Source organism: Homo sapiens, chromosome 13 (assembly GCF_000001405.40).
Source record: "Homo sapiens chromosome 13, GRCh38.p14 Primary Assembly".
Lineage (NCBI taxonomy): Eukaryota > Metazoa > Chordata > Mammalia > Primates > Hominidae > Homo > Homo sapiens.
In genome coordinates, this window is record NC_000013.11 from 67,183,908 (window position 1) to 67,196,963 (window position 13,056).

Sequence of the window (13,056 nt, forward strand, 5' to 3'; positions counted from 1 at the left end):
CAATAATGGAACACTAGGCATATTAAGATGCAGATTTGCAGTAAATTTTCAGACATATTTGCAAATCGTCCTATGATCATTCATTGATTCTTCTGTTAAAAGTATGTTTATGAGAAAACTAGTATCCTGAATGTTGCATTTGCGTCTTTTAAAACATCTAGTGTTTGCGGTATAAATTTTCTATGTTTCATGCGCAAAAAATAAAGAGAATAGTGTCTCTTTCCTTAGTCTTTACTTCACAACCACCTGATTAGTAAAAATGTAGGTTATAACTTCCTTCAGATGCTTGGTGTCTAAACCATTCTATCAAATGACACAGGGAACAACACTGGAAATTAAGGCATACAGCTTGTTTAACAACAAAACTTGTGAAGGTGAAGGTTATAATGAAAGAAAAGGAGGTAAGTTCCTTTTCATGCCAAAAATTCTGTGCTAATTCTGAATCATGTTTGCCTTTTGACTGTGTGATAATCTTACTAGATCCGCATTCAGATCTCTGTGAATTTATGGAGGTACAGGTTTCAAAAACTAAGGGTAGGGCCCAGGCATGGTGACTCATGCTTGTAATCACAGAACTCTGGGAGGCTAAGGCGGGCAGTCTCCTTGAGCTCAGAAATTCAAGACCAGCCAGAGCAATACGGTGAAACCCCGTCTCTATAAAAAAATAACAAAAATTAGCGGAGCTTAGAGGCACACAACTGTTGTCCCGGCTACTTGGGGGGCTGAGGCAGGAGGATCGCTTGAACCCAGGAGGCTGAGGCTGCAGTGAGCTGAGATCGCACCACTGCATTCCAGCCTGGGTGAAAAAGTGAGACCCTGTCTAAAAACCAACCAACAAACAAATAAAACCCTAAGGGCAGGGTGAGGGGTATTGATGTATTGGATCTTAGTAAATAAAACCAAAAATTCTATAAATAGTGCAGTTTTTCACTATTTTCTATTCACGAGGAGTGACCTTTTCTGACCTGTCAAAAGATTATTCATCCTTCAAACCTCATCTTAATACATCCCTTTTTGGTCCTTTCTGTTGACTGCGATAACTTCTTTCACAGAATCTCCGTACTACATAGGCAAGACTTGTCACATACTACCTTTGATGAGAATTGCTTGTCTACCATTCATGTAACTCCTATACCTAGCAATGCCCTGGAGAGCAGTGAGTGAATGTTGCACTAATATTTGATCTACTAGAGAGCCTGGCAATTAAAATAAATATATTGTTTGTAGTCCATTAGAAAAGAAGGAAAGAAAATAACATCACCATCAAGGATATTATGTTTTGTTATATTCTCATGTTATACTTTGTTTAACAATGTTTCTGCAATGTAGATTTTTACTCTCATTGCTTAATTTTAGGTATTCTTTCATTTTGTTTAGTGAATAGTAGTTAAAAATCATCATCAACTGTGTATGAGGAAATAGCAACTTCAAAATTACGTTATTTTTCTTTGCACAGAATTTAATAAAATGCATTAATATTGTACTATGCTGTAACAAGTAGCTACATGTAAGAAATTTTAAAATGTAGGGCTGTAAGTTACTTTGTGTAATATACATAATAGATTTCTTAAGAAGAATTTGATGACATTTTGAAAATCTCTATTTAATCCTATACTTTACTTTCAAAATTCAGTGCTTCTCTACTGTAGGGTTAAAAATGTATGATCCAGAAATAAGTTAATTGGTTAAGTTAAAAAGAAATGTTTGTTCAATATATTAGTTTTTATCATTAATGATACATCTTTTGACACACAAGTTTAAATGGAATTCCTTTCCAAATTATTTTCTGGAATTAAAAATAGTTAAACGTATGGAAGATTTCTGTGTTTTTGTTTTTGTTTTGAGATGGAGTTTCACTCTTGTTGCCCAGGCTGGAGTGCAATGGCACAATCTCAGCTCACTGCAATCTCCGCCTCCCGGATTCAAGCAGTTCTCCTGCTTCGGCCTCCCAAGTAGCTGGGATTACAGGCATGAGCCACCACACCCGGCTAATTTTGTATTTTTAGTAGAGACAGGGTTTCTCCAAGTTGGTCAGGCTGGTCTCAAACTCCCGACCTCAGGTGATCTGCCTGCCTTGTCCTCCCAAAGTCCTGGCATTACAGGCATGAGCCACTGTGCCTGACCCTGCAAGCATCTTTAATAAGCATTTAAGATTGTTCAAAAGTGAAAACTTGTTCTGGTGTAAAATATTTATATATATAAATATAAAGAGGTTACCAATCAATATGAAACAATCGGCTGTTGGGAAGAATTACATATCCCATTCTCTTTTGAATCATAAGAGTGTATACTTTTATTAAAAATATAATCTTAAAGGATAAGGATAATCTGAAAATAATTTATATTGATTCACCTTTGAATATGTTGAGTGATTCTAAAGTTGAAAACTCATGAATTGATTGTTTTATGTACTAGAAAAGCACAATTTCATTTCAGGAACCAAAAACGTATGTAGGGGACGAGGAAATGTCTACAGCAAAATAATTCATACTATAATAAAGAACTGCTTCTTAAACTTTAATGTACATCGTAATCACCTGGAAATCTTGTTAAAATGCAGATTCTGATCCAGTAGGTGTGGGGATTTTGCATTTCTAACAAGCACCCAGCTAATGCAAATGCTTCTGGTTCATGGGTAGACTGCATTTTGAGTAGCAAGTCCTTAAATAGAATTAGTTAATGTTTAATGATCTACCACAAGAAGAAAAGACTAGGATGATTAAAGTAAGGAGGAAAGGGAAAATTATTTTCCACTGGTAAAAAATCATCTGGATAATAATATTACATATCCCATTATTACATATCCCATTCTCTTTTGAATCTAACAAATTAATGTGTAATTCATTAGATATACTAATGTTTATTTTTTAACATATTGTTCTGCTATACCCTTAAAATAAATATACACATTAACTGACCATTAAGCTTCAGACATGGAAAATTCATGGGCTTTATAAGGCTCAGCTGTTAACATCTACAAAAAAGACAGTATTATAAAGCAAAAACAGAAATATTAAGACCATTTTCAATGAGTCTTTAAAGAGAGGGAGACATCATTAACTTTAACAGCAACTTACAAGTATTTCATTGGTTTGTTTCTTTCAATTTATGTGGACGCAAACAATTTCACATTTTTCCTCTAAACTTTTCAATACAAATGCATTAAGCCTTTCTCTGTATTGTGTCTTATATCTAACCTATCCCCCACAGGCATCAAAGCTGAACATGATGGTCATGCTGTTCCATGACGCTGTGAAAGACAAACAAAGAACAAACACACCCAACGACTTAAAACTTGGAGTCAAGGGAGCTCTCCAGGTTGCAGGATGCCTCTCTGATCCTCCTAGTAAATATAAAAGCCTCTTTCTTCAGTAACTGAAAACAATCACAGCTGTCTTTCCCCGTGTCTTGTTGAACCTCTAGGGATAGAGGAAAGGCAGAGTATAGAAATGTGCACCAAAGTGTCCGCGAATGGATTTGATTTATATAGTATGGCTTGCTATAACCTGAGAGGATTAGCTAGTGGGTTTCCTTAGAGACAGTTTCTATTTCCAGTAGAAGACCTTCTAACATCTTTAAATGGTACAGCTACAAAATGCTATTTTTCTAAAATACAACTGATCAACTAATGCTCTTATTAAGCTGCATCCTACATTTTATACAACTCTATACCTAAATATGCATAATCACAAATATTATCACAGTTCTATGATTATTGATTGTAATAAAATTTAGAAATCATATTTATTTATATTTTTAATATAGATGAGAAAATGCAACTATATTCACAATATAGAGATTTAGAGATTTTAAAGCCCATGTTCTCCAAAGGACAAAGTGAATTTTTTTAATGTTTAATTTTTAATTATTATGGATACATAACAGTTGTACACATTTATGAGGTACATGTGATATTTTGATACAAGTGTACAATGTATAACGATCCAATGGGGTAATTGAGATATCCATCCCCTCTAGCATTTACAATTTTTTGTGATAGGAATATTCCAATTTTAATCTTTTAGTTATTTTGAAATAAACAATAAATTATTGTTAACTATAGTCACCCTGTACTGTAATCATTGTGACTATAGTTGGTACCGAACACTAGATCTCACTCCTCCTAATGAATTTCAAGAGTATAATAGAATTGTAAAAATTTCATGAGAAATATACAGTAATAAAACCAATAAGACAATTTATATGTTACAGTTGACTAATAGAGCATTCAGGAGAAATTGGAAAAAACCTGTGTCATATGCTTATCATGCGAATTTCTGTGTATGTATGTGAGATTTCTGAGTTTACTGAAATGGCAAGTCGCTTACCTTGCTATGTCAGCAGTGCTATACAAGTATTATTATAAAAGATATTTTATGTCAAATGCAACCCTGTCAATTTCTATCATCTAAACGTCCTAATCTTTATTGAATCTAAAAATGTGATGCAAAGTAAAGATTTTTTTCAAAACATATTTTGGTACTTTTATCTTGACAATGCTTTTATTTATGAAATCATAGAAAATAATCTTAAAGGTATTTTTAATTGGCATGGGAGGTATAATTCCTCATGTAATCTTGTGTATTAACACTAATTCTATTTTACTAATAGAAATTTTCTGTTAATTTCAATAAGTTATTTATCTATAAAACATGTACATGTCCTTTTAATGAAATATTTGGAATCACATTTGAAAAGAGAAAAAAATTATCCTAGTGATCTGCCCTGGAAAGCTTTTACTTTACTGGTGAATAAAATCCTGAGAAATAGGCTTTATGCTTTCACTCTTATAATATCTATAACTTCATGGGAATAATTCTATTTTTTAAAAACTAAACTGAAAGTTCCTTTTTATAAGAGCAGCTGTAATAGATCTTTAATTTTTTTTAATTTCTGTAAGTTTTAGGGGAACAGGTGGTATTTGGTTACATGAGTAAGTTCTTTAGTGGTGATTTGAGAGATTTCTATGCACCCATCACCCAAGAAGTATACACCAAACCTGATTTGTAGTCTTTTATCCCTCACCCACTTCCCACCACCCTTTTCCCCTGAGTCTCCAAAGTCCATTGTGTCATTCTTATGCCTTTGCATCCTCATAGCTTAGCTCCAACTTATGACTGAGAACATACGACGTTTGGTTTTCCATTCCTGAGTTACTTCACTTAGAATAATAGTCTCCAATCCCATCCAGGTTGCTGAGAATGCCGTTAATTCCTTCATATATATATATGAAGGAATACACACACACACACACGTATATATATACACATATACACACATATATACATATACATATATACGTGTGTGTGTGTGTGTGTGTATCTCTCTCACAATTTCTTTGTCCACTCATTGATTGGTGGACATTTGGAGAAATATCTTAATTTAAAAAGCATACTGTAACTTTCAAGATTTTTTATTCTTTTTACTGATTCATTAAGTTTTATTTATTGTGCACCAATTATATGATAGTCACTGTAGTACTGTCCATTAAACACAGACGCATGTAACTAGCAAGCACTGAAATGTGGCTACTGTGACTGAAGAAATATTTTTCTTATACCATTTACTTTTAATTCTAAATTTAAATTGTCACATGTGGTTAGTGACTACTTCTTTGGATAGCATAGTAAATATAGGCAACAAGGATACGGCTTAACTGCGAGTAAAGAAACCTGCCTGATAAAATTTCTTTCTAATTAGTTACAAAAATATATACAATTAAAAAATAAATGTACAATATAAAGTTAGACAGTGATAAGTGCCATGATGAGAAAAGAGATAAAAATGTAAATGAAAAAGGATAGAAAGCAATAACGAGGCAGTACTGAAAGGAGCCCTAAGTGGATGAAGGAGAAAGCCATTTGACAATCTGCAAAAGATCATTCCAGATAGAGAGAAAACTTAGCAAGAGAATAAGAAGTTACTTAGGCTAATGCTTCAAGGAAAAAGTGCTTTGTCTTCAAGAAAAAAAAAATGTAATGTTTTAATTTACTTATATAAATACAAGTAGTGAATGCAGTTTTTAAACAAAATAAAACAAATTCTTGATAGAGTTATTAAAAATAATACAAAATTAGTCTACCAAAGGCACATCAAATATTTATGCCCTTCTTGACATTAAAATTGATCAGTTGAAATCTTACTTGCCAGTCTCATTTTGTAAGGCTTATAATATTAAAAAGTTTTGTGAAGGTCCTCATAGAATTTTAAATATGCAAAGAATCTTAGAAATTGTACTCTAAATTCCTTATTATACAAAGACACTGAGGCTTAAAGATATTACCTGATTCCTGCCACTAGCCCTTTGATACCCAGTTCATCTTATTATACTATGGGTGCTATGCTTCATATCTCTAATGGCATCAAAACATTAGAGACGCAGAAAACAGGACAGGTAAAAACACTAATTGTGAACAGAATATCAATGTTTGTTAAGTAAATAAATGTATGAATCATTGTAGGGCTAATTTTTACTTTTCCAAAATCAGAGTCTGCTAGACTTCTTTATGGTAATTTCACCTAGACTTTGATATCTTAAATTAAGAGGAAATATTTTGTTTTGTTTATAATTAATTCAAAATAGAGAGGAAACTGAGCAATTAATGAACCATTTTTGAGGAAGATAAACTAGCAAATTGAAGAATGTACTTTCTAAGGTAGAACTTTGGATTTCTGCTTTGAAAATGCTGGGTGGTCAGAATCCAGTAAAAAGCTGTTAATGTAAATTAGTAATTAAATTGTAGAATAGAGAAGTGCCCAAATACACTAATAATATAGATTTGTCAACAAGGATTTCAAAAGTATGAATAATTTTACTATAACTCAAGCTTTTCTGTAATTTTTGAATAATATATTTTTAAAACATAGCAAAACCCTTCTTATCTCCCAGAAAGAATACGCATTGCCTGTTTATGTTCTATGTGCTTTAAGTTCTTGATCGTTTCCAATAATATCTAAAAATGTCAGATGAAAGCACACTTTTCATTTGACCTTCTTATTGATAAGTACACAATGGGAAAATAGTCAAATTGTTAATTTCTATTTTTCTTCTTACTGAAAAACACTAACAAATGATTGCACAAGAAGTTCTCAAGGTCTTGACCTCCATTCTATTCATATGTGATCTACTAAGACTGTAATTCTCAATGCAATGAAATATGTTTTTAGTGCTTGAATATCCACTCATATCATGATGAATGTCTTGAAGATATCCCTCTTCTTTTAAAAAAGAAAACAATTCACTCTCTGAGCTTATAAGTTTTACTATAGGCTAAATTCTCATTCCACAAGTAATACAAATATATTCTTATCACATAATTTTATAACTACTTTATCTGTTTAGTACATTTCTGTGTCTCAACATAAATTCTTTGGAGAATGTACATTCCTCGAAAATATAAATTCCTGGAAAACAGGGAGGTTATCTTGATCATTTTGTTGATCCCAGGTACTAACATATTATTGGCTCTCAATAAATACTTGATAAAAATTTGAATAAATTTGAAGAATTTATCTCTATAAATCACTACTTTGTTCACATCCCTCTATCTTGAATTGCTTCCTAATGGGTATAATTATTTCAACCCTTTTAAAGGAAACTATTATATAATCTCGTATAAAGTTAGGAACACATTCTCACATTTCAGTTTGAAAACACTGGAAACAACTAAAACATCAAGAAAGCTATTGTGCTCACCATAAGTTAACACTAGCCTGCCACTTCAGGTGTTTCTCTAACCACTTTCCTGCACAAATCTCTGCCCTGGTCAAGCCATTATCACCCCCACCTGGACTTGCCTTATATTCTTAACGCCATTCTCTCTTCTCTACCTGCCCTGTCTCCGGCCCCTCCCAAGAGCATTCTCTGTCTGTCTCCTTTCTGTTAAAACTCTGCTAATCCTCTTTCAAGAAACTGTATGAAAGAAAGAAATTGAACTAACTCAAAGATGAAGAGTCCTTGCTGGAACTGAACCACTTGCTTTCAATATGATCCTAAACAAGCCACTTTAGTACTCTGATTTCTTATTTGTAAAAATTGGAGTAAATCAACACATTAAAATTAGCTTGAGTAGAAATTCCACAATGATACCTATTTCAGAAAAAAAAAAACATGTTGTACAAGTGTAATTTGTCGATTAGTAAATTTTAAAAATTGGGGTAAATCAGTCTATAATTAAAAGAATTGCTGGAAGATGTAGAAAGAGATGAACACAGTTCCTAGTACATATTAAAAATATAATACATATTGGGGATGGGGAAAAACAAAAAGAATATAATACGTATTCTTCCACTATGCAATTCTTTGACATTAATTTTGTCAGTGTTAAGATGTGAAAAAAATCTGATTTTCCAAACCTACTATATTTTTGTGAATAATTAAGTGAAAAGTGTTAAAATAATATGAAATAACTAAAAATCAAACAAATATTAGTTATTGACTTAAACTTATTTGAGACACTTCTTCAAAGGTTTAATCTCTCTTCTAAAGGTTTCTCTGACGATCCCAGTCAGAAATAATAGCTTCCATTTCTATAGCACTTTTTGGCTGCATATATATTGCCTTACATTATACATATAAAACCCATAGGTTTATGAGTGCTTTTATAAAATCCTTTTAAGATAGTTGGATTTCAAATAACAAGAACATATTCATTCTGACTGAACGAAAGTGAATTCAAAATTAGGGGGGTGGTATTAGAAATGTATTAGAAAGGATCTGGGTTATCTCATAAAATAGAAGGAAGGCTGAATAACTAAGCACTGGTGGCTAAACTCAGAAAGGTGGAAATCATAGTGAATGGAGTAGATTCCTGAAGAGATGTGGATAAAATAACACAGATAACCTGTAAGAGGGATAGTCCTTTCTTTACATTTACGTCCAAAGCTACACCTTTGAAACCACTCGATTTAAATACTTGGTCCCTTGTATCTTTGCCAGAAGCACATGTAAACTCTGTTTTTATAAGGACAGTTCACGTAAGATACTATTATCTTTCAACGAGTAGCAGAAAGGGAAAACTGTTTAACAGGAACTGTCCCTCTGACCAATTCTGTTGGCAAGCACCTTAGTCCTGTTGCTTCTTTTCTGTCCATCAACACCTAATTGCTTTTGTAAACTCTAAAAAGATAAGCTGGAAATATGTATCTGAAATCCCTATTACAGCAAAAAGTTAAAATTAATACTATGTTCAAATGTACCAGACTAAAATCACATTGGTTTGGAACCCAATAAATATCCAGTGACATGCTAGGTCTTGACTGTACCCAGGACAAATTTCCTCAGCCTAGTGAAATAAAGATGTCTGAAAAATTAAGTAAATCCCATACCAAAAATGATAGTGTCATAAGATCTTCCCTTTCCTTGAAGGTTTAGTTCTTGGTCAACTGCATATGAAGATTTGTGCTTTGTGCTACTGGAGATTAAAACACACACACACACACACACACACACACACACACAACATAGGAGAAAAAATCAATCTCTGGCACTCTTCCCTTGTAACACAATAGTTTTTGCAGTCTTTTATCTATTTTTTTTCTCTAATCAGGTTTCATTATATTTAACACAATAAAAATAAATTCAGGAAAGTAAGCACAATATCTCAAATCTTGCCTGAAATTAAAGAAAGAACATGAATTTCAACTAGAGTACCTATCTGTTAAACTCTAAAACATGAGTTTTTCTGAAATAAATGTCATATAAATAAATAATGCCTTGTGCAGAGCCTATGTTACTATAGATTACCTTGGATGTATATTCTTAATTACTTCCTTCTAAGGGAAGAGGGGATCTTTACTTACAAGTAATATTTAAAGAGAATCTTATAGTTATGAGTCTATGGATGCTTCAAATAAAGGTTCCTTTAATTTTTCTATTTGAAAGTCTCCTGAAATCCCCATGGAAACGACCTTTTACTAATTCTGTCCATATTTCTATGGAAGTGAAACCAGTTTTAAATATTCCTGTTAAGTCAGATTTTATTATACAAACGAGGCCAACATTTAACTTCAGTGTCACTAATATTTAAGTTACACATACATACACAGAAACAAGAAACAATGTAACTTTCGAATTGCATACCTATAGGTTATTTACATTTTTTCTATTACATAAATCAAGAGGAATTTTAAAAAAGCTGATTGGACAGAAGACTATCAAAGCAAAAGCAGTTTTCAAAGTTAAATTGAGAAGAAAACTTTGTTTGGGGAATCTTATCAGTCTTACTTATCAAATACTTAATGATGCCAATTTTGTGCCAGATACTTTTCTAAGTGCTTTCAAATATTGACTTGTTGATTACTGCACTCATATAAGCACTACAGAAATTATAAAACATTCAATGTTTCTCTGTTTTACTAATGTTGATTCACTCATAAAATCATTGTCTCCAAATAAAACCATAGGGGACAAAAATTCAATCATGACTGTGGAAAACTGAAATAAGTTTTTTAACTTTTATCTTTTTTTTTTTGTATTTGATTTTCCAGAGGTATAATGACTCTTCAAAAAAAACTACATTGTTATCGACCATTTCTGACCATCTCCTCAAATTAGCTGTTTAATATTTGTTCAGAGAATAAAACTAGCTTAATATTTGCTCAAAATTTATAATTGAAGAATTTAATTTGCTACTAAAAACTGAGGAATGGCAGCTTAAGTTTAAAAGCAAATAAAAGTCGGATCATGTGGTATATTTTGCAATGTAAAACCTTTGCTTCCTATTTACAATAATATTCATATTTATTATTGTATTAGGTTTACCACCATTTAAAATTTGCAGTTTGAAGTTTCTGATGCCTTCTATAGAATTGCCAGGAAATGGAGAGCATTTATTTCTGCTCATTTAATTTACTCTAGGAGAACTGAAAAGTTTTGCGACTTTTTGACATGAGGGGCACAGTTGGAACTACTCAGCAGTTAGAGTAGATGTCGAAATATAGGAACAAAACAAAATAAAACAAAAATGTTTCAAACAAATAACAAAGAGACATCATCATTAATATAAATATGAGACCGTTTATCAAAAAAAGTCATTTGTAATTACAATGGATGTGTTTTGTGTCAGGGAAGAATTACCGGCTTGATTGAAAATAGGAACCTGGATCACTTGTGAAAACTGAGAAATTTCCGTAAGAGGATGTTATCCCTCCAAACCACTGACAAAACAATGCCTATGAAAATACCAGTCAATACAGTCTCCTGGGACAATTAATAATGTCTTGACTATTATTTTCATACTTTCTTTTTTTTTTTTTGAGACAGAGTCTCGCTCTTTCGCCCAGGCTGGAGTTCAGTGGCGCGATCTCAGCTCACTGCAAGCTCCGCCTCCCAGGTTCATGCCATTCTCCTGCCTCAGCCTCCGAGCAGCTGGGACTACAGGCGCCCTCCACCACGCCCCGCTAATTATTTGTATTTTAGTAGAAACGGCGTTTCATCGTGTTAGACAGGATGGTCTCGATCTCCTGACCCTGTGATCCACCCGCCTCGGCCTCCCAAAGTGCTGGGATTACAGGCGTGAGCCACCGCGTACATTTTGAGATCTTTAAAAGTAACTGCTTAATCTCTCTTCCTTAATAGGTACCAAAGGATGGAAATACCAGTTTGAAAGCAATAAAAATAATTCGTTACTCTTAAGACAAGTTATTAGACTTTACCAGAACTTTTTGAGCAAAATAAAGATTTGTGCCAACTAGAATGCTTTGGGGAGAAATTATTCATATTTCTGGGGATATAAGAATGAATTATTATATTTTGACAATATTGATAATTATAATGATATTTAAAGGTATATTTCCTTAAAAGTAATAATAAAAATGATTACTAAAAAGCAAGATACAAGATATTACATACAGCATGACTCCATATATATGAAATAACCAAGAAGGTCAATTTTATAGAGATAGCTGACTCCATGTATATGGGAACAGATATTAACAATAAATGAGTACAAGAGATCTCACTGGAGTGATAAAAATGTTTTAAAACTGGTTTATAGGAATGGTTGCTCGACTTGATATGTTTACTAAACATTATGGAATTTTAAACTTTAAATGAGTGACTTATATGATATGTAAAATGTACCTTAAGTTGTAAAAAATAAAGGGATCACTAACTTTTAAAGGAGAGGTGACACTGAAGTGGTCACTTAATCGGTGATAGTTTGTTGTGAAGAGTAAACAAACTCTATGGATACATCACTTAATATTTCTGAAACTCAAGTTTCTTCATCAAGGAATTGAGGATAAAAGTAACATTTACCTAATAGAGCTGTTTTGAAGGTTAAAAATAATCCACAAAGAAAGAATATGTGGAATGTATGTGGTGCAAAACAAGTACCAGGTATAGTAGCGCTAATAGGGATATGAATTAGCCGAAAACTAAAGAGGAATTGTAATTGAGAGGAATAAAGAAATACATCCTAAAGAAATGGACTGAGAGAGAATGGTACTTGGAATATGAACATAAATGTGTATTGATTATAAATTTCATCCAGGATGTTTTACTCCTGAGTCATAAGAAAAACTTCTTCCATCTCAAATTCTGACAGAAAATACATGGAAAAACAAAACAACAAAAACATACTAATTCATCAAGTTTGAAATGTCTTTGATCATGAGTTAGAGAAAACTACTTATAGTGTAAATGTATGGAGAAAAGCATCTCTGCGTATATGACAAATACTATTAAATATTATAGATAAATAACAAAGTTTTGTACGTGTTCCAAAAATGAATACTGGGCAAGTGCATTTTAATGTATGATTGTGTAAATGTTTCATTCGTTGTCCTTTAAATGCATATTTTTGTCTCTTTTTCAAATCAATCCTGATTCTTGGAATGAGTGTTAGATTACCAAAAAACCCAAAATCCTACCTAAGCCAAATAGGAGCTCTTGTGACCTTGAAAAATGCTTAAATACCAAGCTTTAATTTTCACAGAAATGGGGATAGAAATAAAATGTGCACATTTTCAAACATTATTTCATGTGAAATTATAAACATGGCTATAGGCAAAAAAGAAATGTACTCTTTTTACTAGTTTATTTGTAAGAAGAAA

At 32.5% G+C, this 13,056-nt stretch overlaps 1 protein-coding gene across 7 annotated transcripts in view, besides 1 other annotated feature; it reads right to left on the bottom strand.

The window, feature by feature from the left end:
- Positions 1–13,056, bottom strand: part of PCDH9 (protocadherin 9) — a 927,503-nt gene that overhangs the window by 881,074 nt on the left and 33,373 nt on the right. The gene's annotated exons all lie outside the window — the stretch shown is intronic.
- Positions 2,959–3,531: an enhancer, noted in NCBI's record as "OCT4-NANOG hESC enhancer chr13:67760998-67761570 (GRCh37/hg19 assembly coordinates)". NCBI's record gives its function as "activates a minimal SCP1, AML or CMV promoter by ChIP-STARR-seq in naive H9 embryonic stem cells {active_cell/tissue: H9 hESC(naive)}" and the evidence as "EXISTENCE:reporter gene assay evidence [ECO:0000049][PMID:30033119]".